Source organism: Homo sapiens, chromosome 9, assembly GCF_000001405.40.
Source record: "Homo sapiens chromosome 9, GRCh38.p14 Primary Assembly".
NCBI lineage: Eukaryota > Metazoa > Chordata > Mammalia > Primates > Hominidae > Homo > Homo sapiens.
In genome coordinates this window covers 133,419,872-133,446,824 of record NC_000009.12, presented here as the reverse complement: position 1 = coordinate 133,446,824, position 26,953 = coordinate 133,419,872, and the positions used below count along the sequence as shown (strand labels likewise).

The window sequence follows — 26,953 nt, the reverse complement described above, 5'->3', positions numbered from 1 at the left end:
GGATGGGAGGACATTGGAACTCTTATGCACCATTAGTGGAAATGTAAAATGGTGCAGCCACTGGGGAAAACAGTCCAGCAGTTCCACAAAAATTAAACATAGAATTCTCATCTTACCCAGCTACCACACTTCTAGATATACACCCAAAAGAACTGAAAGCAGGAACTCAAACAGATATTTGCACACCCATGTTCACAGAAGCATTATTCACAATAGCCAAAGTGTGGAAGGAAGCCAAGTGTCCACTGATGAATAAATGGATAAACCTGTAAAGGATACACTCACAATGGAATCTTTTTCAGCCTTAAGAAGGAAACACTCACACATGCTACAACATGGATGAACTGTGAGGACATCATGCTGAGTGAAAACTAGTAACAAAAAGGCAAATGCTATATGATTCCACTTCTACAAGGTCCCTAGAATTGTGGAATCTGGAGACAGAAAGGAGAATGGAGGTTGCCAGGGGCTGCGGAGGGGGAAATGGGAGTTCGTGTTTCACAGGGACAGAGCTCCAGTTTGCGAAACTGGAAAAGTTCTGGAGAGGTTGGTGGTGATGGCCGCACAACAATGTGACTGTGCTTTTATGCCACTGACCTGCACAGGGAGAAACAGTTTGGATGGTAAATTTTATAATATCTGTGTTATACTGCAATAAAACAAGATTGGGAAAATAGAAGAACGCTGTGTATCTTAAAGCTAAGGTTTCTCTGCTCGGGTCATCAATTGGGGACCCCCCGGCCGCTCTGCTAGGACCATAAGGAATGGCTCTCGTGCCACACTGCCGGGCGTTATTGTCTTTTCCTACCTTTCAGCCAATCAACACCCACATTTGAAGTGGCTGTCAGCTACTATGCTTAGTCTCCTTGTGTATTACCACGTGTTCCCATATAGTCTGGATTTTCTGCAATCCACCTCAAATGCTTTTCAGAACGAGGCAAGATGCAAGTGGACAGGAGAGTTACCATGAGTGCTGGTCCCCAGGAGCATCCCGGGGGCCCTCACCTCGCCCGCAGGAGACGGAGCACGACCCTGCCGCAGGGGTCCACACGTGTGCAGCTTGAGCCCCCGTCCTGATGCTGCCCCATGGGGAGGGAGCCTTCTCCCCTGCAGAGGTGGCATCCAGCTGTGGGGAATAGCAACAAGCTGGTGGGTCTGGGCCTCCTCTGAGGACCCAGCGATCCCCGTCTCGATCTTCTCAGGCAGCAGCAGAGAGACCAGGAAGTGGCGTGTGTGCACCAGGGGCTCCCTCCCCTCCTCCCTTGGCGAGATCGGCTCCCCGGTCTCGCAGCGGGTATCCTTGCTGCACACCCCACCTTTGCAGGCTCCTCAGCAGCATGAGTGCTCACTGTGGGCCTGGCCGAGAGCTGGGGACCAAGAGTGGGACATGGGAGCATGCCTGGCCCTGCAATCCCCCCAGCCATGAGGGGCGAGGGTTGCCAGCACCCAGGCCAGAGAGCAAGGCCAGTCAGCCTCCAGCCCCTGGACGCCAGGCGGGAGCCTGGCAGCATTTCTCTGCACAGCAGCTGCATTACACTCTCCTCAGATGCTTCCCTCAGCCCGGCTTGCAAGGGGAATGGGAGCCTTCCCAGGGGCCCTGAGCCCTCTTTCTAAGCTTCTTTTCTGAGCAGGGGTGGCCCTCAGACAGCATTCCCACAGAAGGATGGTGTTCTTGCTCTGGCCTGGAGGACGGTGGCAATGGGTGCTCCTCGTTCTCCCAGCCAGGTAAAGGACTCAACAGCCCCAGCCACCCTCATGCCCAGGGCACTCACATGGCCCCAGCCTGGAGGACATGACATCCCGACACAGGGCTCAGGGGCAGGCAGCTTCTCATCTACGGAGCCAGGCCCCTCAGTCACTGGAGCCTCCAGGCCATCTGCCCCTGGCACACAGGTCTCGTTCTCCAAGGCCAGGCCTGCTCCACCAGCTGATGTGCATGAGCTGGGCTCTGACACCTCCCACCTGAGGATGGCATGAGACAGTCATCAGGCCCTGCCTCTGCCACCCAGGGGAAGGTATAGCCCAGCTGCTAGGGGCAGGGAGGAAGGGGACCTGCTCCCCAACATCCAGGAGCCCAAAGAGGAGCCCCACAGAGAAGTGAAGCTCAGGGTCTCTCCCTGAAGCACCGGGTTCCCCATTCATCAGCCAGCAGGTTCCCATTCAACAAGCACTCGCTGCTCAACAGTCAGGCACCCCACCTGCACCCAGGGTGCAGAGACAGAACCTATCCCTGGCCAGGCACGGTAGCTCAGCACTTTAGGAGGCTGAGGTGAGCAGACTGCTTGAGCCCGGGAGTTGGAGACCAGCCTGGGCAACATGGCAAAACCCTGTTTCTACAAAAAATACAAAAATTAGTTGGGCTTGGTGGCGCACACTTGCTGAGGCAGGAGGTTGCAGTGAGCCAAGATCATGCCACTGCATACCAGCCTGGGTGAGAGAACAAGACTCTGTCTTTTAATAAAAAAAAAAAAGAGAACCCATCCCTCCTACTCTCCAGAGGCAGAGGCCGACCTCCAGCCAGGTAATCACTGACTCCATGCACCATAGCAGGTGCAGAGAAACAGGTGCCACATGGAATTGGATCACCAGGTTCAAGGGTGGCCAATGGGTTTCAGCTGTGAGTCAGCCCTGCGCTAAAGTGGCTGCCTGGAGAGCTGTGTGAGAAGGATTCTGAGGCCCTATCTGGCCTCAGCGGGGAAGAGTGGTGACTGTTTTGTCTGCCACGGATGACGAGGCGGGGAAAGGAGTCCAGAGCTATGAGTGGGCCACCAACAATCCAGACCAATCCCCTCCCACCGGACAGGTCGCAAAACTGAAGCCCACAGAGGAGGGGACTTGCCCTGTCACTCAGCTCGTTAGTGGCAGGGCAGGATGATAAGCCACTGTCAACTTGGACACTGAGGGGATGAGATGCAGCCACGTGGGCACGGGGGAGATGGTGGTGATGAGAAAGTGACATCTCCCACTCCGTTCAGTTTGACCTCATCCTCGAAGCCCCCCCTCCCCAGGCAGGTCGGCATCCCCATTTCAGAGCAGGGGCTCGGAAGCTCAGAGAGGGAAACAATGGGCCCAGGCTCTCCTGGGTAGTAAGGAACTCTGACAGCAGCACTTACAACCGCCAGGTGACACTGCCCATCACCCTGGATGGTGAGGCCCCGCCGGAGGCCTCAGGAGGAGGGGATTCTCAGAAGGATGGGGGCTCAGCGCAGGGACGAGCTCTGCCAGGAAGGCCCTCTCCCAGCCCCACCTAGCCCTGGGCTCACCTGGCAGGGCAGGGCTGGGGGTTGCAGGTTTCCAGCGCCACAGCTGGCTGCTGGGCCCCTGCTCTGCACCGGGCTGGGGGCAATGTCTTCAGGAGGCTGCCCTGGGCCTCCACGCAGCGCACTGGCCGCTCCCGCAGGCCACCCCCACAGGAGGCGCTGCATGGGCCGAAGTCTCCCACCGCCCAGCTGAGGAAGGAGACAGAGCGTCGGGACCCTGGCCAGGTCCCAGGCTGGCCTGGGGTGATGGGGTGGCAGGTGCTGATGTACTCCCCCGGTCTGGGACAAGCAATGGGCACTACGGCCAGCCTAGCCTCTCCAGGTGTTCCCAGGCTGCCAGACGGCTGAGCCTGAGGACAACCGAATCACAGGCTGGTGAGCAGCTGCCCTGTCCTGCACCCAGCAGGAATGGCCTCGTCCCTAACAGTGTGCCCCGTCAGGTGTGGTGACAGCCAGGGGCTTTGCACCAGGAGCTCCGCAAGTCTCCCTACAACCCTCCAGGTAGGCAATCACCTCCATCTCACCATGAGTACCTGAGCTCAAGAGAGGCCTCGGTGGCCCAGACAAGGTGGCAGCAGGTGTGGGTCCCACTGGGCTGACATTGTCACCATGTCTGCCCCAAGCCTCAGTGTCCTCACCTGCAGAATGGGGGCACTCACAGAGCCCCCCTTGCAGGGCTGTGGGCAGGGGTAATGAGAGCCTGCACAGGAGCAGCTCAGCCCGGCCCTGCCACATGGGCCCCATAGGCCAGGGACAGAGCCCAGCAGCCCCAGCGGAACCCTCTCTCCCCCTTGGAGCTGCGCAGACAGCACCACACTCACTAGGGAGGGCAGGGTTCGAGCACGCAGGCCTCTGGCCACGCTGGTGGCTGCTGGCTCCCTTGGCACTGGACAGTCTCCACCAACTCCTTCCTGGCCTGGTCCAGGCAGCTGTAGTTTACCCAGCGCAGCCCTGGGAGGGAAGAGGGAGGGCTAGGCCGCCTCCCTGCAGGGGCAAGCCGTGCTGTGGATGAGCCTTCCCCAGGTCTCACCTGCCCCACAGCTCACCGAGCAGGGCCCACGCACAGCGGCCCACACCCAGGCCTGCCGTGGCTTAGGCTGGAAGTAGGTGAAGGTGATGTCTGGGCGGGTGAGGTTGCCATACTCCTCGCCATACCGCCTGTAAACCTGCAGACAAAGAGCTTCAGGCCTTGTCCAGTGGGTTCCCTGAGGGTCACTGTCATGGCCACCTCCCCTGGGAAGCCTTCCAACTTCTTCTTGCATCCCTATAATCTTTCGTTCAGCAAGCAATCACTGGCCAGGCACGGTAGCTCATGCCTGTAAACCCAAAACTTTGGGAGCCTGAGGCAGGCAGATCACTTGAGCCCAGGAGTTTCAGAGCAGCCTGGGCAACATAGCACTCCAGCCTGGCCAACAGTGAGACCCTCTCTAAAAAAACAACAAAGACAAAAATAACGGGAAGCAATCACCAACACTGACCTGTACCAGGCTCTGGGGATAGCACAGTGCACAGGACACTGGCTGAGCTGCAAGGAGCTCTCAGTGGGTTGGGATAGAGGGCTCGGGGAGGTAATTACCAAGTCATTGGTGGGTTACATGATAGGGTATTTGGGCAGCACAGAGAAGGTTCCCTAAGCTGGCTGGGTAGAGGATAAAGTGCAGTGGAGGAGGCAGGCCCACCTTAGGCTGGGCTAAGGAGCCCAAGAAGGGCTAGGGCAGGGCCAGCACAGAAAGTGCTTCTGGAGCCAGAGCTGAGGCCCGTAGGGTCGGCAGGAAGAAACTGGATCCCTGGGGACCTGTGGTAGGGTCGGCAGGAAGAAACTGGATCCCTGGGGACCTGTGGCCAGCTACTGGCTTGGGACTGGCCCGGAGAGCACTAGGAAGAACTTCAGCAGGTTCCTGGGCCTAAGGCTCTTCAGGAGGGTAACTGGGTCCTGTGCCCAAGACCAGCCCAAGAAAGAGGCCAGCCTGGAGGCCAGAGCCCAGGGCGAGGTGACATTCCGCACCTGCCCCCTCGATGCCCACATCTGGCCAGTGCCGCAAGCCTGTGTTGGTTACGGTGCGGTTTCTCAGGCCCAACACAGGGAAGTCCTGATTCAGGGAATATGCAGAGGACCCGGGAATCTGCTTTTTTACACACTGCAGAGGATGATGGGAGAGCCACTCGGCAGCTAGCATCTGGATACAATGTCCCAGGCAAGGGGAGGGGAGGAAGGGAACCATATCAGGGGAAGAGAAGGGATAAGCCGCTCACAGGGGCTTGCTTTGGCCCGGCCTGGCCTGATCTGTGGGAGGCCCTCCTGTCTCTGGCTGCTGTAGGGGCAGAGGACGCTGCTCCGGCCGCTGAGACTGGGCCCCTCTCCCAAGGTTCTCAGGTCTGTTTCAGCCTGCGCTTATGTCTCTCCACCCTCCACGTGCCTTCCTCAGCGAAGCACCAATGGGGACATACATGGGCGAGCACACGTCACTGAGGACACGCCTGAACAAGGCCTTCCGGTTCCCACACACACTGCACCAAAGAAGCAGTGAGAGCCAGCATCTGTTCTCAGCTTCCTCAGCACCAAGGCCTACTCCCCAGATGCCACTGCACCTGCGTCCATGCCTTCATCTCCCCACAAACCCACACAGTAGGACCTTCCTTCATCCCTCCCACACTGACACTGTTCCCTCAGCCATACGCTTCCTTCCCTGCTTGGCCCAGCAACATCTGCTCATCTGACACCTCAGCTCCATCACTCTTTCCCAGGGAGCCCTGGACCCCTGCATTGGGCCCTCCAACCTTACCTGATCCCAGAACTGCAGGGCCTTCTCCCACGGGCTCTGGGCACAGGCACATTTGGATATTTGTGGGACCCTAAGCCCCTGGAGGAGCTAGCTACATTTTGCCTAGCACAGGGCCCAACACATAGTGGGTCCCCTGTAAGTGACCGCTGAATGAATAAATGAACGAATCAGGGAATGGATGGATAGACAAACGAGCAAGCAGCCATAGCCCCCAAGAAGAAGCCCCCACTGGCCTCCCCCAGGCTCTCCTGCTGACCTGGATGTCAGCATCTTCCTGGAGGGGTCCCCAGATGCGGATCTCCTCCAGGCGGGGCAGCCGGTCCTCGGTGAGGGCCACTCTGTACTCGACACGACCATCCTCCAGGAGGGAGGGGTAGGTGGTGTTAGGGGAGATGCTCATCTTCCCAGCCACGACATAGCGCCCTCCGATCCTCACCGCTGTCGGGGAACCAGCCCTGTTAGCTGTGTGGAGCTGAGCACCCATCCTCCTCACAGGCACATGTCAGTGACTCTCCTTCCCGGGGTCCCCAGCCCTCCTCTAAGGAGCCACAGGCATCTGAGCTAGAGGCTTCCCCACAGCGGAGGCTCTAGGCCTCTTTCCACAACCTGGTGAGTGCTATGACCAAGTGCACTCACGCACAGAACTCAACAGGCTCAGGGCTCAGGGACCCCATGGCAAGTGCCGGCAACCAAGGCTTCAAAGGTTAGGTGCAGACACACTCCAGAAAGACCCACTGTGGCCCTCAATAGCAAAGAAGCGGGCCTTGCCCAAAGAGAAGTCCAGCTTTTGCTGTTGGCTTCCAAGAGGAAACACGGGTCACACCAGGCAGAAGTGTCCTCCTTTAGGGCAGGGGCTGGCTGTACCAGAAAGACCAACTATGTGATTTAGGATAGGGGCTGGGTCACCAAGAGACTGAGAGTATCCACCTGGCCAATTAGTCAATCATGTCTTTGCACTCAAACCCCAGGAAAAACTCTCAACTCCCACTCAGTGGGCTTTCTGTGTGGGCAATACTCCATGCGTATGGCCACGCTCCAATGCTAGAAGGGTGTCACATCCCTGAGACATCAGGCCTCCTGGTTGGACCCTCCCAGACTCTGCCTACATCTCTTCCCTTGGACAATTCTAACCTGTGTTCTTCTGGAAGGAGCCGCAGCCATGTGCCACAGCTCTCAGTGAGCTCTGGGAGTCTTCCTAGTCAACTATCAAGCCTGAGGGTGGTTTGGGGAACCCCCTGAACTTGCGGGTGATGTCAGAAGTGAGGGCATCTTGGCAACAGTGCTCTGCACCTTTGCAGTCTAGCTAACTGGGTGGGAGTCCTCCAGTCAACTCACCCAAGTGTGTGAAGAGAGGCCTGTGGTTGGCAATGTAGACACTGGTCAGGTTGGGGGTAACTGTCAGAAACGTGACATATTCTAGAAAGAAGAAAAGAAGGAGAGATGCGTGGACCTCACAGCCACCACACCACAGACAAAGGGAGCTGATCTTAGCTGGTCGGGAAAAATTGAACAATGCCATGGGGCTGGCTCCAGCAGCAGTGAGTCCCCTGTCATGGGGGCAATTAAAAGCAGGCTGGAGGACCACCTGCCAAGGCTCTGCCCTGGCTGGGAGAAGGGACCGGGTCCAAGGTTCTCCAGCACAGTGGGGCAAGCCAGAGGGAGGCAGGGCTCAAGTCTCTGCTCTCCATAGAAGCACTGGCATTTGCAAATGGTTTTTGACCTCATATATACACCAAAGTCAAAGATTTTCCAAATGTAACTACCAACCCTCTCATTCACTTGTGTCCCTCTCAGTGGGATTTCTTGAGCAGGAGAGAAGAGGGTAGCTGCCACAGAATGCACAACGTCCATACTTTTTTTTTTTTTTTTTTGAGACAGTGTCTCACTCTGTTGCCCGGGCTGGAGTGCAGAGGGATCTCGGCTCACTGCAACCTCTGCCTCCTGGGTTCAAGCAATTCTCCTGCCTCAGCCTCCTGAGTAGCTAGGACTACAGGCGCCCGCCATCATGCCCAGCTAATTTTTGTATTTTTAGTAGAGATGGGGTTTCACCATACTGGCCAGGCTGTAGGTGATCTCCCGACTACAGGTGATCCACCCGCCTCAGCCTCCCAAAGTGCCGGGAGTACAGGCGTGAGCACAGCGCCCGGCCAATGTCTGTGTTTTTTTTGCAGCACGGCTACAGTGAGTGACCATTACTGAGGCACCACAGTCCCAGCAGCATCAAGGCCAAAACCTGAGCCTGCCACAGAAGGGTGGCGAAGTGGAAGAGGGAGACGCTGACACCACAGGAGGCATCCAGGGCTGAGTGAGTGTGCAGGCCCTGTGACCTGAGCAGCCCCTGCACCAACGCTCTGGGCTGTGGCCATCTTGGAGGCTGGGGGAAGCCCAGCCTCTGCCCCGAGGGAGGCCGCCTACCTCTCGCTCTGCCAGCTGTGAAAGAGCCCTTCCGTGGGCTGCACGTGCTGTTGTCCCCACCACACACCTGGCACCTGTCCCATACCTGCTGGGAGTCCATCCTACCATCACAGCCAAATGTCTATGCAAAGGGAAGGACAGAGGGCCCGTGTCACTGGAGGGTGCTGGCCTCAATGACTCTGCAGCCCTGCCAGCTCTGAGATTCTGGGATCCACAAAACCAGCAACACTTCTATAGCACCCCACCATCTACACAGGAAGCAAGCTTAGAGGGCTCAGTGACTTGCCCAAGGTCACACTGCAGCCCTTAACCCAGGCTGACTCCAAGTCCAGATCCTTTTCCCCAGCACCACTCCCCTGCAGAGGGCACTGCAGCTCCATCAGGGCCAGCACCCACCAACCTGCCCCCAGGAGCCTTCCGATAGGACAGGTAGGCCCCAGGGCCATCGCCAATGTCCACACACGCCTACCCTGCAGCTGCCCGACACACACAGGCTCAGGGTCCCGTCCTCCCGGGGGCCACTTGGCATACACCGGGTCCCATCGAGGAAGCTGTCTCCACGCTTCATGATGAAGCTCTCGCCAATGGCCCGGCACATGTGTCTGCACAGAGCATCCCCTGGGAGGGCAGAGTGAAAAAGGGTGTCCTGAACCGAGCAGGAGGGGCAAGTCCCCCAGCCCCCACCCAGCTTCATCCTTTGCATCTGGGGCAAGGGTTTCTATCTTCCCCACATCCCACCTCCTAAGGCAATAATCCTAATCACGATCCTAATCTAATCTAATAATTAATGGTATTGAATTAGGAACCAAGGCTGGGCGCAATGGTTCATGCCTGTAATCCCAGAACTTTGGGAAGCCGAGGCAGGCGGATCACCTGACGTCAGGAGTTTGAAACCAGCCTAGCCAACATGGCGAAACCCCATCTCTACTAAAAATACAAAAAAATTAGCCGGCATGGTAGTGCAAGCCTGTAGTCCCAGCTATTCGAGAGGCTGAGGGGCAAGAATCCCTTGAATCCCAGAGGCGGAGGTTACAGTGAGCTGAGATTACGCCCCTGCACTCCAGCCTGGGCGACAGAGCAAGACTCTGTCTCACAAAAAAAGTATCATGAACCAAGGAACACACTTGGCATTTTCCGATTATCTCCCTGAATCCTTGTAGCGCCCAGGGAGGGACCTACTGCTATTATCTCCATTTCACAGATGGGAAATTGAGACTCAGAGATGGGATGTCAGTGCCTGATCTACCAGCGAGGCCTGGCCACTATGTCATCCATGGTCTGTGGGATGCCAGAGCCTGAACCACTTTGCCCAGTGCTGGAGGGATAGTAGGCCAACCCCCCTATGACTCTGCCCTGTCCGAGGGTCTCCAGGGCTGGCTCCTCCCCCAACCCCACACTCCGCAGGCCCCACCTTGGCTGTGTGGTACAGCAGCACCCCAGTGGTAGAAGGAGGCGCCGCCAGGGGAGGAGCGCAGCGGCTGGCCGTCGGTCCTGGCGCACTGTTGCGACATGAACTCCAGCTGGGTCTTCTCGCAGGCCTGGCCAGGAGGAGGCAGAGGAGGGGGATGGCGGTGGGGCGGGGGGCGGGTGTTGTCACTGGGAGACTACATGGCACCCTACAGTACAGGATCAAGATGTGGGTGTGGCCTCAGCTCCAGGCCGTGCCTCGGTTCCCTGCTCTGTAAACTGGGGTGACAAAAGTGCCTGCCTCTCTCTATTGATGGGAAAACCCCGGGGAATCCGTAAAGAACACAGGGCAGCAACGAAGAAGAAAGCCAGGAAAGAGCATTACGCTCAGAGCCTCTGCTTCCAAGGCCTGAACTCAATAAAACAGGGACGGGGATGTGTATTCTTTAGGTAGTGCACCTAGAGGCAGGTAACCAAAGCATGGAGCAAAGACCTCACCACCGAAGCCTCTGCACTCAGGCAGGCGTCTTGGACTTTTATGGGCTGACAGAAGATAACCGGAGTTGACTCCCTGGACAGCCACACTGACCACACTGCCTCCACGAAATCCCACCACCCTGTGCTCCAGCCAAAGACCCTCCCCTCACGGTCTGGGGAGGTCTTGGTGGTCCATTTGGAGAAGGAGGAAAGGGAGGGTCTCACCACATGCAGAACTGTAATACAGCCAGGGACAAACCCACACCCAGGGCCATCGAAGCAGGAGATAGAATTTAACTCAATGTAAAAAGAATCTTTCTACCATTTCATACCACCGAGATGGCCAAAATCAAAAAACAGAAAACAGGCCGGGCGCCATGGCTCACGCGTGTAATCCCAGCACTTTGGGAGGCTAAGGTGGGCGGATCACCTGGGGTCGGAGTTCAAGACCAGCCTGGCCAACATGACAAAACCCCATCTCTATTAAAAAAAAAAAAAAAAAAAAGAAGAGAAAAGAAAAAACAACAACAGAAAACAGCAAGTGCTGCAGCGGATGTGGGGAAACTGGAACCCTGGCGCAATGCTGGTGGGAATGTGAAACAGTTCAGGCACTGTGGAAAACGGTTTGGCAGTTTCTTTAAAAGCCAAACATGCTGGGCGCGGTGGCTCACGCCTGTGATCTCAGCCCTTTGGGAGGCCGAGGCAGGCAGATCACGAGGTCAGGAGATCAAGACCATCCCGGCTAACATGGTGAAACCCCGCCTCTACTAAAAATACAAAAAAAAATTAGCCGGGCGTGGTGGCGGGCGTCTGTAGTCCCAGCTATTCGGGAAGCTGAGGCAGGAGAATGGGGTGAACCTGGGAGGCGGAGCTTAGAGTGAGCCGAGATCGCGCCACCGCACTCCAGCTTGGGCGACAGAGCGAGACTCCATCTCTAAAAAAAAAAAAATAAAGAAAGAAAGAAAAAAATAAGAAAAAAAAAAAGTCAAACATAGGCCGGGAGCGGTGGCTCATGCCTGTAATCCCAACAGTTTGGGAGGCCAAGGCGGGCAGATCACCTGAGGTCAGGAGATCCAGACCATCCTGGCTGACGTGGTGGAAACTCCATCTCTACTAAAAATACAAAAAATTAGCCAGGCATGGTGGCGCGTGCCTGTAATCCCAGCTACTCCGGAAGGTGAGGCAGGGGAATCGCTTGAACCCAGGAGGCGAAGGTTGCAGGGAGCTGAGATTGCACCACTGCACTCCAGCCTGGCGACAGAGCAAGACTCTGTCTCAAAAAAAAAAAAAAGAAAAAAAAAAGTCAAACATACAATTCCCATACGATCCAGTAACTCCGCTCTTCAGCATACTGCCAAAAGAATTGAAAACAGGGATTCAAACATGTACAAGCACATTCGCAGCGGCTCTGTTCACAGGAGCCAAAAGGTGAAAACACCTCAGATGTCCATCAGCAGACGACTGGATGAAAATGTGGTCTATCCCTGCAGTGGAATATGATTCAGCCAGAAAGAGGAATGAGGCGCTGACACAGGCTACAACACAGGTGAGCCTTGGGGACGTGCCGCTGGGGGAGGAAGGCAGGCAGGAAGCACACCTGTTGTCTGGCCTCAGGTACGTGGCATGTCTAGAACAGGTCAATCCACAGAGACAGAAGGGAAACCAATGGCCGCTGAGTGGCGGAGGAGAAATGGGGAGTGACAGCCTACCATATGGGGTTCACTCCAGAGTACTCCAGAGTACTGGAAACGTTCTGAAACTAGACAGAGGCAGTACTTGCCCAACCTTGTGAGTGTACTAAAGGCCACTGAGTTGCCACTTTAAAATGCTTGATTTCATGCTACATGAATGTCACCTCAATTTATAAATAAAAGACTCCTTCGGCCAGGCGCAGTGACACCTGTAATCCCAGCACTTTGGGAGGCCGAGGCAGGCGGATCACGAGGTCAGGAGATCAAGGCCATCCTGGCTAACACGGTGAAACCCCTCCTCTACTAAAAATACAAAAAATTAGCCGGGCGTGGTGGCGGGCACCTGTAGTCCCAGCTACTCAGGAGACTGAGGCAGGAGAATCGCTTGAACCTGGGAGGCAGAGGTTGCAGTGAGCTGAGATAGCACCACTGCACTCCAGTCTGGGTGACAGGGAGAGACTCTGTCTAAAAAAATAAAAATAATATTTAAAAAATTCCTTTGCAGGCATGCAGCAGCGCACTGTATTCCTAGTGGGGAGGTTCTCCCTGCAGAGATGCGCTCTGGAGGGCAAAGTGGCACTCAGGGAGGGAGGCGGGACGCTTCAGGGGCTCTGTGGGCATCAGCAGGACTGGCCTGGTTTATGAACTGGGGTCCCAATGTCCTTCTCTCTCTTTTTTAATTTTTATTTTTTTTTTGAGACAGAGTCTCACTCTGTCGCCCAGGCTGGAGTGCAATGGCCCAATCTCGGCTCACTGCAAGCTCTACCTCCTGGGTTCAAGTGATTCTCCTGCCTCAGCTTCCCGAGTAGCTGGGACTACAGGCGCCCACCACCACGCCCGGCTAATTTTTGTATTTTCTGTAGAGACGAGATTTCACCATGTTGGCCAGGCTGGTCTTGAACCCCTGACCTCAGGTGATCCACCTGCCTTGGCCTCCCAAAGTGCTGGGATTACAGGCATAAGCCACCTCACCTGGCCCCAATGTCCTTCTCAAATGTGTCCTGGTGTGAACCACAGATGGTCACTTTGGCTCCCCCAGGGCCCGGTGCCACCAGCTGCCCCCTCCTACCCCAGGAAGCAGGCCTACCTGAGTGTTGCACATCTCGGCCTGGAGGTCAGCACCAACACATGCACGCCCCCCAAAGGCAGGTCTGAAAATGCCCAGCAGACAGGAGGGTGAGAGAGCAGGGTGACCACTGCCTTCAACTAGGGACTATGGTATGGCCACACTCCCTGACAGAAAAGCACCCTCCCTGCGGTACCTGGGGTTGTTGCACTGCCGCCTCCTGGTGACCACACCTCCTCCGCAGGAGCGGGAGCAAGGACTTCGGGGACCCCAGCTAGACCAGCGCCCATGCACTGCTGCTATGGGGGTCAGCTCCACCAGGGAGCGGCAGCGACCCTTGGAGCACCACTGCAAGGCAAGGATGGCTTCATCTCCCATCCCACAGTGACCCCACCACAGGACTCCCAACACACACAGAGAGTCCCCCAACATCCTCAGGGATCCCCAACACACACAGGGACCCCACCCACAGCGACCCCCAAACACACACAAGGAACTCACCCATAGGGATCCCCCAACACACAGGGATCTCCAACACACACAGAGACCCCCCAACACACAGGTACCCCAGCCACATGGATCCCCCAGACCCACAGGGATCCTCCAACACCCAGAGACCCCCCAACATACACACAGAACCCCCCAGGGACCCCTCAACACACAGGGATCCTCCAACACACACATAAGGACCCCACCCACAGGGACTCTACACTCACAGGGACCCCTTACACAGGGATCCCCCCCGAGACACCCCATATCCACAAGGACCTTCACACAGGGACCCCACCCAAAGGAACCCCACACCCATGGGCACCCCCCATACAACAGGCAGCCCACATTCCCATTCTGCATGGGAGCAAATGCTAAAGGAAAGAGGTCAGACCACCAACCCAAAGGACAGTCCCCAAGGCCAACTCCAAGACTCTCTGCCCCATACTGGTCCTGCCTCCTGACCTAGGAATAGGGCGGCCTGGCTGGAGGCACCCACGTGCACGTGCTCACAGGAGCCCACTCATTCACTCTTGGCTCTGACCTTCTCCACGCCACATTCTGTCCCATCCAGGAGAGGAACGAGGAGGCGGCTGCAGCTGCTTTGGTCCAGCGGGTCTGTGTGGCAGGAGAGGGCCTGGCACATATCCTAGGAGGGTGGACAGGTGGGTGGCGAGCTCAGGGGCCACCAGGGCCTTCCAGGCCAGTGTCCAACCTTAACTGTCCCTCCCAGACTGCAGGACACACTGACACAGCCAACACTCTGCACCGTGGGCACTGGTGCCCTCAGAGGACAAGGCATGACTGACCCATCGATGGGGAACCGGGACCATGACCAGGTCCTGTCACACTTTTGGGGGCCCATGGAAATGTGTTTTTTGTGTCTTTTTTCTTTTTTTCCTTCTTAACTTGTCACTGACTTGAAGCTCAAGAGGCAAATGTTTTAATTTATTTTTCTTTCTTGTTTTTTTTTGAGACAGTTTCGCTCTTGTTGCCCAGGCTGGAGGGCAATGGCGCGATCTTGGCTCACCTCAACCTCTGCCTCCTGGGTTCAAGCAATTCTCCTACCTCAGCCTTCCGAGTAGCTGGGATTACAGGCATGCGCCACCACGCCCGGCTAATTTTTTGTATTTTTAGCACAGATGGCATTTCTCCATGTTGGTCAGGCTGGTCTCAAACTCCCGACCTCAGGTGATCCGCCTGCCTTGGCTTCCCAAAGTGCTGGGATTACAGGCGTGAGCCACCACACCTGGCCTAATTTCTTTTAAAATCAGAAGGAAAAAGGCCGGGCACTGTGGCTCACGCCTGTAATCCCAGCAATTTGGAAGGCCGAGGCGGGCAAATCACGAGGTCAGGAGAGCGAGACCATCCTGGCTAACACAGTGAAACCCCATCTCTACTAAAAATACAAAAAATTAGCCGGGTGTGGTGGCAGGCACCTGTAGTCCCAGCTATTCGGGAGGCTGATGCAGGAGAATGGCTTGAACCCTGAAGGCAGAGCTTGCAGTGAGCCAAGATTGAGCCACTGCATTCCAGCCTGGGTGACAGAGCGAGACTCCGTCTCAAAATAAATAAATAAATAAAATAAAATCAGAAGAAAAAAATGAACTAGGCTGGGTGTGGTGGCTTATCCTGTAATCCCAGCACTTTGGGAGGCCAAGGCGGGCGGATCACCTGAGGTCAGAATTCGAGACCAGCCCGGCCAACATGATGAAACCCTGTCTCTACTAAAAAATACAAAACTTAGCTGGGCATGGTGGCACATGCCTGTAGTCCCAGCTACTCGGGAGGCGTAGGCCCGGGAATCACTTGAACCTGGGAGGCGGAGGTTGCAGTAAGCCAAGATTGTGCCACTGCACTCCAGCCTGGGTGACAGAGTGAGACTCTGTCTCAAAAAAAAAAAAAAATGAAAAAATGAACTTCCAGGTCAAAATTAATGTTGTAATATATAATATTAATAGATTTGCTGATCAGGCGTGGGTGGTGGCTCATGTCTGTAATCCCAGTGCTTTGGGACGCCAAGGTGGGAGGATGGCTTGAAGCCAGGAGTCCTAGACAAGCCTGGGTAACAAAGGGAGACCCCATCTCTACAAAAAATTTAAAAATTAGCTGGGCATTGTGGCATGTGCCTGTAGTCCCAGCTACTCCAAGGCCGAGGTGGGAGGATCGTTTGTGCCCAAGAAGTTGAGGCAACAGTGAGCTATGATTGTGCTACTGCACTCCACCCTGGGCAACAGAACGAGGCCCTGTCTCAAAAGAATTTAAAAAAAAAGACTTGGCGGGGCGCTGTGGCTCATGCCTGTAATCCCAGCACTTTGTGAGGCCAGGGCGGGCGGATCACGAGGTCAGGAGATCGAGACCATCCTGGCTAACACAGTGAAACCCCGTCTCTACTAAAAATACAAAAAATTAGCCAGGCGTGGTGGCGGGCGCCTGTAGTCCCAGCTACTCGGGAGGCTGAGGCAGGAGAATGGTGTGAATCTGGCAGGCGGAGCCTGCAGTGAGCAGAGAGGGAGACTCTGTCTCAAAAAAAAAAAAAAATAGGAAAAAAAAAGACTTGTATTTATAGTAACACATAAAACTTTATACATTGTATAAGAATATTAAAACATAATTCTCAATTTTTTTGTGGAGGAAGGGGCCCATCAAGGCAAAAGTGCCTGGAGCCCATGAATGTCCTATGCAATCCTGCGAGGAAGTCTGTCTTTTGGGGTGCCTGCTCTCCTTCATCTCCCCTCCCCCTACCAGCCCCACTTCTGCTGTGGGTTCAGTTTAGAGGCCACTTCCTCCAGGAAGCCCTCCAGTCTGACTCCAGCCACAATAGATGGGGAAGTCCTTGGTAACTGTTTAAGATTGGTGTCCTCACTCAGCCAGGAGTCCTTGGGCACAGGGGCCCTCCCAGGACTAGCTACATAATTTGTGGGGCCCAGTCAAACAAAAATGTTGGAGCTTTTGTTCAAACATTTTAAATAATTTCTAGAGGGCACAGACAGCATTAAACTAAGCCGCCCTGGCTTAGTACCTCAGCCTAGCACGGCACCCAGCAGGTTCTCACCATGCACGTTTTGGGGGACGTGAGCTGGGTGATGCGGAGGGACCTCACAGCCAATCCCAGGCCACCGCCGGCAGACTCACCAGGTGCTCCCTGGCGAAGGTGCAGGCGACAGCCTTGGGGCCGAAGGCCACGCGGCACTGCTCGTTGGCGCTGTAGTAGAGGCCAGGCTGCGCATCCGGCGGGTGCCCCGCGGACCCGGGTTGAGGCCGCGGCGGGTCCCACACGCAGCGCGCCCGTCCTGCGCTGCGACAAGGCCCGGCTCAGGCCCGGCTCAGTCCCGGGGTGTACACCGGGAGGAGGCGGGACGGAGGAGTGGGCACGAGGATGGAAGCGTTTGGAAGCGTGGCCTTTTGTGAGTGGGAACAGGAGTTCTCGGCCCGCGCCCCCCACCAGGAGCCGGCTCTTGGCTGGGACCAAGACTAAGGCTCCTGCCGGCGCAGAGGTGGGTGGCCAGCAGAGGGAGCGGCGACGGAGGGACGGGTCTGAGTGGGATGGAGCAGATGCAGGTTAGGCCCGGGAGCGGTGCGGTCGGCGGGAAGGGGACGCAGGGATACATGTACGCGGGTGGGGGAGATAGGGGTGTGGGACTGATGGAGCGTGGAGAGTGGACGGAGGGGTAGGGGCGGGTGGAGGCAGACGAAGGGTAAGGGGGTGAAGTGAGGGGGTGGGTGCAGGAACAGGGTGGGCCCAGGAACGGGGTGGGTGCAGGGGGCTGAGATGGAGGGGTGGATGGAGGAGGGTAGGATGCAGGGGTGGGTGTAGGCAAGTGGGAGAGAACCAGGGAGTGTATGTGGAGTCAAGGGGCGGGATGGGGATGGACGGAGGGGTGCGTGCCCAGATTGGCTGGAACGAAAGTGTGGGCGCAAGGGGGCGAGGGAGGACGCAGGGGTGGGCGCAGGGAGGGGGTGGAACGGAGCGGTGGGCGCAGGGGTTGGACAGAAGGGTGGCCGCAGAGTGGGACAGCACGGGGGGAGGTGCAGGGGGTGGGGCAGGTGGGTGGGACGGGGGGGTGGGTGCAGGGGTTGGGACGGAGGGGTGGGCGCAGGAGTGGGCGCAGCGGGATGGGACGGAGCTGTGGGCGCGGGGTTGGACGGAGGAGTGGGTCAGGATGGAGAGGTAGGACAGGAAGGAGGGCTGAATGCGGAGTGGGGACGGACGTAGGGAGAGGTGGGGACGGACGTAGGGAGGGGTGGCGCGGGCGGCCCAGCGGGCTGGCTGGAGGCTCGCGCGCCCGCCCCTCCACGGACGGAGCGGTGGGCGCGGGGTTGGACGGAGGGGTGGGTTGGACGGAGGGGTGGGACAGGAAGGAGGGCTGAATGCGGAGTGGGGACGGACGTAGAGAGAGGTGGCGCTGGCGGCCCAGCGGGCTGGCTGGAGGCTCGCGCGCCCCTCCCACGGGGCGGCCGCTACCTGAGCAGGCTCAGCAGCTGCCGGCGGCTGCAGGGGGACCAGGCGAGGCCGGCGCGGGGCGCGGCGCCGTCCGAAGCCATCACGTGTCCGCTGGGGCCGCAGCCGCTGCCGGGCGCGCCGTCGTGCTCCAGGCCGAAGCTGGTCGGGGGGCGGGGAGTTGCGCTAAGGCGGCCGGCAGGGGCGGGGGCGGGGGTGGGGGCGGGACGGGGGTCGGCGAGTCAGCGGCCCGGCGCCCTAGTGCCGCAGCGCCAGCGAGTTTTCCGACCCGGGTCGACCCCTGACGCCGCCATCTGCTAACTGGGCGCAGTGGAGAGGGTCGCGTGCGCCCTGCCTCAGTTTCCCCCAGAAGGGAGCGCTAGCCCAGCAGGGTGGCTCTCGCATCTTTTGCTAATAAATATCAAAAGCCTTTAAAAATGTGCAAGCCACATTAAATCATGGTGTTAGGAGTCTGTGGGGAGGTGGGGACTGGCCGGGGCCTTGAAGGGCTGCTCTGGGGACTGTTTACATGGATGTGTTGAGCGTGAAATTCACCTACTGTGAGGAAAGCACGATTTTAAAGTTCAGTTAAAACGTGCTTGCCCTTGGCCATTGTTTGCATTCCTAGGCCAGGAAGGTGAACCGTTTCCAAACTGTCACAACAGAGCTTGCTTTACCCAAAGCGGAACTGATGGAGGACTCCTAATGGGGTGGGAGAGGCCAGGCACCGGTGAGGTAGGAGGTGGACTCCACTCTGGAGGCCCCGCTTGGACACTGGACCAGAGGACTAGCTAAAACAGGGAGGGGTGGGAAGCCCCTTTCCATAAGACACGCCCACCAGTGTGCCATACCAGTTTGCCATTGCCATGGCAAAACCCAGAAGTTACTGCCCCTTTTCCATGACGAAAACCTAGAAGTTACTGCCCTTTTTCTAGAAATTTCTGCATAATCTGGCCCCTTAATTTGCATATAATTAGAAGTGGGTATTAACTAGGACTGCAGCCCTGCCTTTGAGCTGCTCTTTTGGGCACAGTGTCTATGGGGTAGCCTGGCTTCAAAAGGGGCTATGCTGTGCTGTATACAGTCACAGGGCTGTACACTCTGCCCACTGCCACATCAATCAAAGTTGCTGTCTAACACCACCTGCTCCCTCTTGAATTCTTTCCTCGGTGAAGCCAAGAACCCTCCCAGGCTAAGCCCCAGTTTGGGGGCTCACGTCTTCTGCATCACAGGAGCAGAAGGGAACTATGCTCCCTCTGAGGGAGAAGGAGCCCTGCCTTGTCCCACACCCAGGAACCCTGCCTCAACCCTCCCAGGCTCAGAGGGGTTGAAAGGGGTCGGGTGGGGGTTGGTGGGCAAGGAATGTGGAAATTCACTTTTTACTTTAGAAATCTCTGCACTGTTTGAATTTTTACAACAATTGGGTATTATTTTCATACTTAAAAAACTAAAGAAATGAAAAGAAACCCATCACTCTAGGTAAATGGTTATAGGTAAGAGTGAAGGTTTGCCCACAAGAATGCATAACATTCACAACAGGAAGACGTGTTCAGACAACCTAGACATCCAAGAAGAGGGGACTGATTAAATAAATTACGGTGCACACCTCTAAGATACCTGGGATAATGTTTGGGATATATTATTACATAAAGAACAGGTAAATCCTGCACTTACCCTAGGAAGAAAAAAGAAAGGCTGGATGCAGTGGCTCACGCCTGTAATCCCAGCACTGTGGGAGACCGAGGCAGGTGGATCACCTGAGGTTGGGAGTTCGAGACCAGCCTGACCAACATGGAGAAACCCTGTCTCTACTAAAAATACAAAATTAGCTGGGCGTGGTGGCACATGCCTGTAATCCCAGCTACTTGGGAGGCTGAGGTGGGAGAATCACTTGCACCCAGGAGGTGGAGGTTGCAATGAGCTGAGATCACGTCATTGCCCTCCAGCCTGGGCAACAAGAGCGAAACTTCATCTCAAAAAAAAAAAAGAAAAGAAAAGAAAAAGAAATAGCAGGTAACAAAGCAATGCACAGCATAATCACAATTTTCCTTTTTTTCAGGGATCCAAACTAAATCCCAATTTTGCAAATAAGAAATATGTGTGTGTATGTAAAGAAAAGACTGAAATTAAATACAAAATGTGAAGAGACATTATCTCTAAATGGTGGGATTTGAGATAATTTTTACAGCCTGCTCTTTCTTTACCTGAATTTTCTACAGAAGTTATTTTCTACCTGCTAAAGGTGTCTTGCTCGTCTTTTGGAAAAAAAGTTCTTTTAATCAAACAGTATCAGGTTCCCCTGTCCTCACACCTGAGTCTGTCGGGGTGAGGGGTACAGGCTCCTCTGGAGAAACTCTACAAGGACCCACTGCTTGCCAAGACCACCTCCACCCTGGGTACCCAGGTCAGCTCCTTGCCAGATCCTGGGGACAGCTGGTGGGGCTACATACCTGTGCCCAATCTCATGGGCAATGGTGACTCCCAGGTCGAAGCCAGTGTCCTCGGTAATGAGGCAGCTCCAGGTTGGGGAGCAGGCACCGCCCAGCTGGGTGACGCCCCGCACCTGCCGGTTACCATCAGGCAACTCCAGGTCAAACCTCGGTGAGAGAAAACAGTCACTTGGGTGGTGCCAAGGCACGTGCCTGCCCTGGGGTCACCTTTGCAGAGGGCAGGAGGCTGAGGGAGCAGCCTTCCCAGGCTGGCTGGCCAGCACCCATCAGAAAGCTCGGCTACCTAGTGATATAGAGGACCAGGTCAGCATGGCCAGGATCCGTGTCGTCCTCAGGGTTGATGGTCTGGCTCCACCCACAGACGCTCAGCAGGGACGAGGTGAGGTTGGCTGTGATATTTGGAGCACCCTGCGGACCCACAGCAAAGCCTGCATTTAGGACACCCCAACCAGGCACGGTGCTGACTGCGGTCGGTTTGTTTCCCAGTTAGTCCTCCTAACAACCCTATGACTAGCCCGTGTTAGGGATGAGACAACTGAGGCTCAGAGAAGTAGTCAGGCAGCCTGTGCTGAGTGCTGGGTAGAGCTGGGAGGGCAGCTGGTCTGTCTGGCTGAATGCATTCTGTGATCCATGCTGCTTGGGGCATCCGGGACAAGAGGTTAAAGAGGATGGAGATGCGATGACTTGGGCTTCCCGCTCTGTATGGTGTGCTGAGTTCCAGCTCCATGCCTACCTCAGGCTCTGTCAGAATGACCATCTTCACCAGGTGCACCCGAAACTGAGCCCCCAGGGACGGGTCCCGAAGCAGTTCTGCCCCCTGTGCAAGGGCAGATGAGAGAGGTAACCCGTCGGGTGGGCATTGCCAGCCCCAGGCAGCTGCTGACTCCCAGGGGCCCCCGGAGTGTGAAGAGCTGGAGAGGCTACTCCACCAGCATGTGTGGGAACCGGGCGGGGCGGGGGGCTCCTAAAATGTGCTGCACAGTCAGCCGTGCCTCTGTTGCTCCTCAGCTCATGGCTCAGGAAGGCCAACTAACGCAAGGAAAACAAACTCCAAAGCAAGGGGATGAGAGCACACAGATGGTCACGAGTCGGATATTCCGGTCAAACGCTGCTCCTCTCAGATCGCAGGCTCCTCTCAGATTACAGGCGCCTGCCACCATGCCCAGCTAAGTTTTGTATTTTTAGTAGCTACGGGGTTTCACCATGTTGGCCAGGCTGGTCTTGAACTCCTGACTTCGGGTGATCCACCCGCCTTGGCCTCCCAAAGTGCTGGGATTATAGGCATGAGCCACCGCGCCTGGCCTTGTTTGTCTTTCTGAGACGGCGGCTAGTGGGGGAGTGCTTCCCTGCCCGCCCTTCCCCAGCTTTCAAGTGAAGGGGGGCTGCAGGGATTCAGGTGCTAGCAAGAAATGAAGGTGGGCATCTCCTTTGCCAGCAGTCTCTGTTTAGACTTCAGACGGGTGACCTGTCCTCGCCACTCTGAGCGGGGGACAAGAGAATGGAGAGAGGGCAGGGTCGGGGTGCAGAGGGCAGTGTGAGCAGCCCGTATCCCATTTGCCAGGGTTGCTTTAGCTGAGCTTTGTGGGGGTCAAATGGATACTGGGGAAGAGGCCAGGCTTGAGGGTGGCCCCAGGTGAAGGGACTTGAGTAGTGAGAGGCTGCAGGGTGTGCATGTGCCATGGAGCCTAGAGAGGGTGTGGGACCTCACCCACCTCCACCCAGGGGAGGGAGGGAGAAGAGGAAGAACCCCGAGCCATTCTACCTGAGTTTAACCCACTGTATTCAGACTACCAGATACACCAGCCCACAGACATTGGTCACCAGCCCTGGCCGTGGGGACCTGCACAGTCCAGCGTGGGGCACTCACGATGTTGAGGTTGGTGAGCACATAGCGCTCTGTGTCCTCCTGGTGAGCCTGGAAGACATCGGGGCCCACGGCCACCAGCAGCTCCAGGTGTAGGATGCCGCCTGCAGCCCGCCTCTGCCTCTGCCTCTGCCTCTGGAAGCCAGGGGAAGGAGGGCGGCCTGGAGGGGGAGAGGGAGAGCAGAGGGCGATGGTTCTAGAGAGCAAGCAGTGGAAAGCTAACAGGAAAGGGGCTGGCAGGTCTTGGAAGGATGGCCTTCCGAAGTCAAGACATTGCGTGTCACCCCCACCCCAAGAGCCAGACCCCATTAGTGACTAGGCACGCAAAGGGCAGGGCCCAGGAGGAGCTGTTGGGCTATTGTGTGCTTTGGGTCACCCCATCAAGACAAGATTCCCACTGCCCTGGTGGCTCTGCCCAAAGGGGAAAGCCCCTGCCCTGCCTCCTGGACCCTGCTCTGGGCACAGGTGTTTCACAAGTAACATCATGGACCCCGACAGGAAACTGAACACGAGTGGAGCCCAGTGGTCTCTTGGGAAGCAGGGGCCCAGGCCAGCCCTCACTGTCCTCTCCCAAGGGAGCCCTTAGAGGGTCAGGGACCCTGGGCAATGATCTCCCAGCCTTTCAGGAGCGGCAGCGCTGGAAGGACCCAGGCTATGGGATACCCAGACAGCGTCGGCTGCATCCAGCCCCCAGCGTGGCCCCAGGCACTGGTCAGTGTGCCTCTGGCCTAGACCACAAAGAACCAGGTCACAAAGTGGGCCTTGCCCTCCTGTTGCCCCTGACCACTAGCCCACCTGCCTCTGGCCCCCATCAGCCATTAGTCAAGTTGCCAATGGCCCTACTGGGAAGGGGGCTCGCACCGGAGAAGGTCACAGACATGGGCCTGTGGGCAATGGGGACAGGCCTTTATCATAAGGAAATCCATGGCCTTAGGAGGTAGCCTGAGCCAGTACCTATCTTGTTTCCCACAGAAGGAATAAATATTTACATCCACGGTCAGAAACCACAAGAGCTCCTGAAAATCAGCCAGCTCAGCAGAGGCCATGGGGCAGGAGGGGCCAGCCAATCGGTGACCGTTCCCTTGTGATATTTAACAGAAGCTAGGGTGAGAACCCTGGCCTGGCTGGAACACCCAGACCAGCTTATATCAACTTGGCAGGAAGTAACAGAGTTAATTAACAGGGTTGACAGCAGCTTCTCTGACCTTCTCCTTCCAGATCCACCAAAAATCCCAGACCACTGACTCAGTGGTGAGATACCCCTTGAAAGTCCTGAGAAACTCCCCCCGGGAGAGAAGACACCAGGACAAGTACCTTTTAAGGGAGCACCAGGGCTCAAGTAAGAAGACACGGCCTGTGGCTCCAAAGCCTGAAGACAACTCTGCAAGACAAAAAGAGATGGATGGGGCCGGGCATAGTGGCTCTGGCCTGTAATCCTAACACTTGGGGAGACCGAGGTGGGAGGATCACTTGAGTCCAGGAGTTTGAGACCAGCTGGGGCAACATAACAAGACCCCATGTCTTAAAAAAAAAAAAAAAAAAAAAAAGAGAGAGAGAGAAAGAAAAAAGAACAAAAAGAGATGGATGAAGAGGGAGACAGGAGGCAGGAGGTGGGTGAGGCCAACCAAGAAGGAGAGGGGGAAATCAGAGACAGGGAGAGGAAGGGAGAGGCAGAGAAGAGCAACCTACACAGTTTGGGACAAACTAGTATCTGTCTGTTCAGCTTCACCGAATGAGCAGGTCGTACTGAGACACCAACTCCCTCTTCAGTGAGCACACTTCATCCCCCAAAGCCCCAAGTACAGACTCCCCTGCCCAGCGCAAACCCCAAAGCTGATGTAGTCAGCTATTTGGCACTCCCCTCGCCCCAGGTAGCTCAGAATACCCCACCCAGAGGCTCCCAGAATACCCCCGCTCCTGCAAATGAGCCCACCTGCTGGAAATGGGAGGGTCCCCAGCAGCCCAGGAGAAAGCCACAGGCAAGGATTCCGGCCACACAGAGGGGAGGGCATCTTGCCCGGGGGTGACGCTGGTGCATCCTCAGGAGAGCCAGCCCGAGGAGTGGAGCGGAGTGAGAGGGGGCCTTGGTGACTGGGAATCTGGTCAGTATGGAATGGGACAGGCCTGCTCACTACTGGGCGGGACGATTAGGCAGTGTTTACTCTTGGAAGCTTCCTGCCAGGGCAGGGGCCGTGGCTAGGGTGGGCGGCCTGCAGCTCCTCCTGCTGCAAGCTGGGCCTTGCTCTAAGATGGTTGCAGTTCAGGGTAACCTGCAGCCCAGTCCTGCACACCAGACAGCTCTCCGGATGTGCACGCCCACCCCCTTAGAGGAGGCCTAAGCCATCTAATCTGGAGAAGGGACACTGGACCAGAAACCCACAGACGGGGGTTCACAAGGAATGCCAGGACCTCGGCTGACTCCCTCTCCGGGGTCCCCGCTCCCATCTGACAGATGAGAGGCTGTGCCAAAGACATCGTGGTTCTGGCTCAACTCTCCACCTACTCTGTGCCTGCGCCTGATGAGGAGAGTCGCAGAAGCAGGCTGCACGGCACCAGATCTCAGCATCATCACAAACGGCCTGGCAATCCCCTTCATCTCCTGGAAGACTCACTTCACATGCTCCAAACCACTCTTTTACACCCACAGAGCCGCACAAGCTGATGACCAGCAGGGGGATTCACCTTGTCTTTCCACCCCTCAAAGTGCAGCCTCTCTCCTCCTCTGCGATCAGGGAGGACACACCTACACTTCCTGCCAGGCCCTGGCTCTGGATCCCTTCCCAGCTCTCTCCTCCTGCATCGTTAGTTTCTGCCCCTCTGCTAGAGCCATTCATTCATTCCTTCAGCCAACAAATGTTTCACTGAGCCCCTGAAACAGGCCAGGCTCTGTGCTAGACACCAGGAAAGCAGCCCCAAGCCAGGCAGACAGCAGCCTCGGCCTCTCACAGCTTAAATTCTAGGGAAGAGAGCCAGACAGCAAAGTTGCTAGACAGACACATGTTGTATATGTAGTATGTTCAAAGGTGGTAAGTGTTATGGAGAAAAATACAGCAGAATAAAGGAATGGGGGACTGGAGGGAAGGGTGTGCTTTCATGCAGGAAGGTAAGGAGGCTGTTGGAGAAGGGGGCATGCTTAGATATCGAGATCCTGGTACCTGGCTCACTCCATCAGCATGAATGACTCTCCTGTCTCTTTTTGGTTTTTGTTTGTTTTTTGAGACAGAGTCTTGCTGTGTCACCCAGGCTGGAGTGCAGTGGCACGATCTCGGCTCACTGCAACCTCCGCCACCCAGGTTCAAGTGATTCTCCTGCCTCAGCCTCCCTTGTGGCTGGGATTACAGGCACCCGCCATCACGCCTGGCTAGTTTTTGTATTTTTAGTAGAGGTGGGGTTTCGCCATGTTGGCCAAGCTGGTCTCAAACTCCTGACCTCAGGTGAGCTGACTGCCTCGGCCTCCCAAAGTGCTGGGATTACAGGCATGAGCCACCAAGCCCAGACACTCTGGTGTCTCTTGATTACAATCAACAACCTTCCCTTGACCCACACTGTCCTCCTGCCATAGCCCTGTTTCTGGCTGTCTTTAAGAACTTAGAAACATTATTTTCAGTGGCTATCTCCACTTCCTTGCCTTCAATTCCCACATACCATTGAAATTGATCTTTAAAAGGTCACCAATAACTTTGTGAACCCTGAAAGAGCCAATCCTTCTTGATGGATCCCAAGTTACTAACTGGGCCTAAATTCAAAGTAGGACCTAGCAGCCATTTGCTGACTAGGGTCACACACACATTCTGCGTTCCTGGAAAGCCCCCACTCTCACTTAACTCTGGGATGGTTTCACAGCTATCTGTTCCTGTTTATGCCGCCAGAATCAACCCATCGACTGTGACCTGCATCGACCAATCTGAACTCAGCAAGTATTAACCAATCAGAACTAAGCAAGTGTGCCTTCCTCATTTGCATAAGTGGACCAAAGTGGGAACCTGGGCAGGAAGTTCTCTACAAAAGACGACCTCTTTCTTTGTTCTCTTTGTTCCCTGGAATGCACCTTTGTACAGAAGGCTGCATTGCCCTGGTTTACAAACTGCTGGAACAAAGTTTTTTTCCTTTTTTAAAAAGAAAACCTGGGCCAGGTGTGGTGGCTCACGCCTTTAATCCCAGCACTTTGGGAGGCCGAGGCAGGTGGATCACGAGGCACGCGGATCATGAGGTCAGGAGTTCGAGATCAGCCTGGCCAGCATAGTGAAACCCCGTCTCTTTTCAAAAATACAAAAATTAGGCTAGGTGCGGTGGCTCACGCCTGTAATCCCAACACTTTGGGAGGCTGAGGCGAGAGGATCACCTGATGTCTGGAGATCCATACCAGCCTGGCCAACATGGAGAAACCCCATCTCTACTAAAAGTACAAAATTAGCCGGGCGTGGTGGCACATGCCTGTAATCCCAGCTACTCGGGAGGCTGAGGCAGAAGAATCACTTGAACCCGGGAGGTGGAGGTTGCGGTGAGCCGAGATTGCGCCATTGCACTCCAGCCTGGGCGACAAGAGCATAACTTCGTCTCAAAAAAAAAAAAAAAATTAGCTGGGCATGGTGGCGTGCACCTGTAGTTCC

At 56.1% G+C, this 26,953-nt stretch overlaps 1 protein-coding gene across 13 annotated transcripts in view, besides 5 other annotated features; it reads right to left on the bottom strand.

Moving 5' to 3' along the window:
* The window catches only part of ADAMTS13 (ADAM metallopeptidase with thrombospondin type 1 motif 13), a 45,050-nt gene that overhangs the window by 12,562 nt on the left and 5,535 nt on the right, over window positions 1-26,953 (bottom strand). For 2 of the 13 annotated variants that reach the window (NM_139025.5, NM_139027.6), the window contains exons 1-21: window positions 24,277-24,458; window positions 23,658-23,724; window positions 22,347-22,504; window positions 21,213-21,296; window positions 20,763-20,887; window positions 20,480-20,626; window positions 18,054-18,191; window positions 16,724-16,886; window positions 14,133-14,237; window positions 13,296-13,447; window positions 13,121-13,184; window positions 9,870-9,996; window positions 8,928-9,076; window positions 8,459-8,579; window positions 7,379-7,459; window positions 6,300-6,481; window positions 4,291-4,426; window positions 4,082-4,211; window positions 3,264-3,449; window positions 1,773-1,962; window positions 1,006-1,126 (exon numbers count right to left, since the gene is read on the bottom strand). In NM_139025.5, coding sequence (NP_620594.1) covers window positions 1,006-1,126; window positions 1,773-1,962; window positions 3,264-3,449; window positions 4,082-4,211; window positions 4,291-4,426; window positions 6,300-6,481; window positions 7,379-7,459; window positions 8,459-8,579; window positions 8,928-9,076; window positions 9,870-9,996; window positions 13,121-13,184; window positions 13,296-13,447; window positions 14,133-14,237; window positions 16,724-16,886; window positions 18,054-18,191; window positions 20,480-20,626; window positions 20,763-20,887; window positions 21,213-21,296; window positions 22,347-22,504; window positions 23,658-23,724; window positions 24,277-24,381 — 2,731 coding nt within the window. In that variant the 5' untranslated portion in view covers window positions 24,382-24,458. Of the gene's footprint in view, window positions 1-1,005; window positions 1,127-1,772; window positions 1,963-3,263; window positions 3,450-4,081; window positions 4,212-4,290; window positions 4,427-6,299; window positions 6,482-7,378; window positions 7,460-8,458; window positions 8,580-8,927; window positions 9,077-9,869; window positions 9,997-13,120; window positions 13,185-13,295; window positions 13,448-14,132; window positions 14,238-16,643; window positions 17,784-18,053; window positions 18,192-20,479; window positions 20,627-20,762; window positions 20,888-21,212; window positions 21,297-22,346; window positions 22,505-23,657; window positions 23,725-24,276; window positions 24,459-24,846; window positions 25,656-26,953 lie in introns of those variants that run through there. The other 11 variants (XM_017014232.2, XM_047422699.1, NM_139026.6 and 8 more) reach the window with 11 other exon arrangements.
* Window positions 15,893-16,102: a silencer, noted in NCBI's record as "fragment chr9:136295843-136296052 (GRCh37/hg19 assembly coordinates)". NCBI's record gives its function as "represses an EF-1alpha promoter that drives an FKBP-Casp9 reporter gene in an ReSE screen in K562 erythroleukemia cells {active_cell/tissue: K562}" and the evidence as "EXISTENCE:reporter gene assay evidence [ECO:0000049][PMID:32094911]".
* Window positions 18,023-18,092: a silencer, noted in NCBI's record as "silent region_20458". NCBI's record gives its function as "represses an Ori minimal core promoter by ATAC-STARR-seq in GM12878 lymphoblastoid cells {active_cell/tissue: GM12878}" and the evidence as "EXISTENCE:reporter gene assay evidence [ECO:0000049][PMID:35858748]".
* Window positions 24,704-24,763: an enhancer, noted in NCBI's record as "active region_29241". NCBI's record gives its function as "activates an Ori minimal core promoter by ATAC-STARR-seq in GM12878 lymphoblastoid cells {active_cell/tissue: GM12878}" and the evidence as "EXISTENCE:reporter gene assay evidence [ECO:0000049][PMID:35858748]".
* Window positions 24,884-24,933: an enhancer, noted in NCBI's record as "active region_29240". NCBI's record gives its function as "activates an Ori minimal core promoter by ATAC-STARR-seq in GM12878 lymphoblastoid cells {active_cell/tissue: GM12878}" and the evidence as "EXISTENCE:reporter gene assay evidence [ECO:0000049][PMID:35858748]".
* Window positions 25,164-25,303: an enhancer, noted in NCBI's record as "active region_29239". NCBI's record gives its function as "activates an Ori minimal core promoter by ATAC-STARR-seq in GM12878 lymphoblastoid cells {active_cell/tissue: GM12878}" and the evidence as "EXISTENCE:reporter gene assay evidence [ECO:0000049][PMID:35858748]".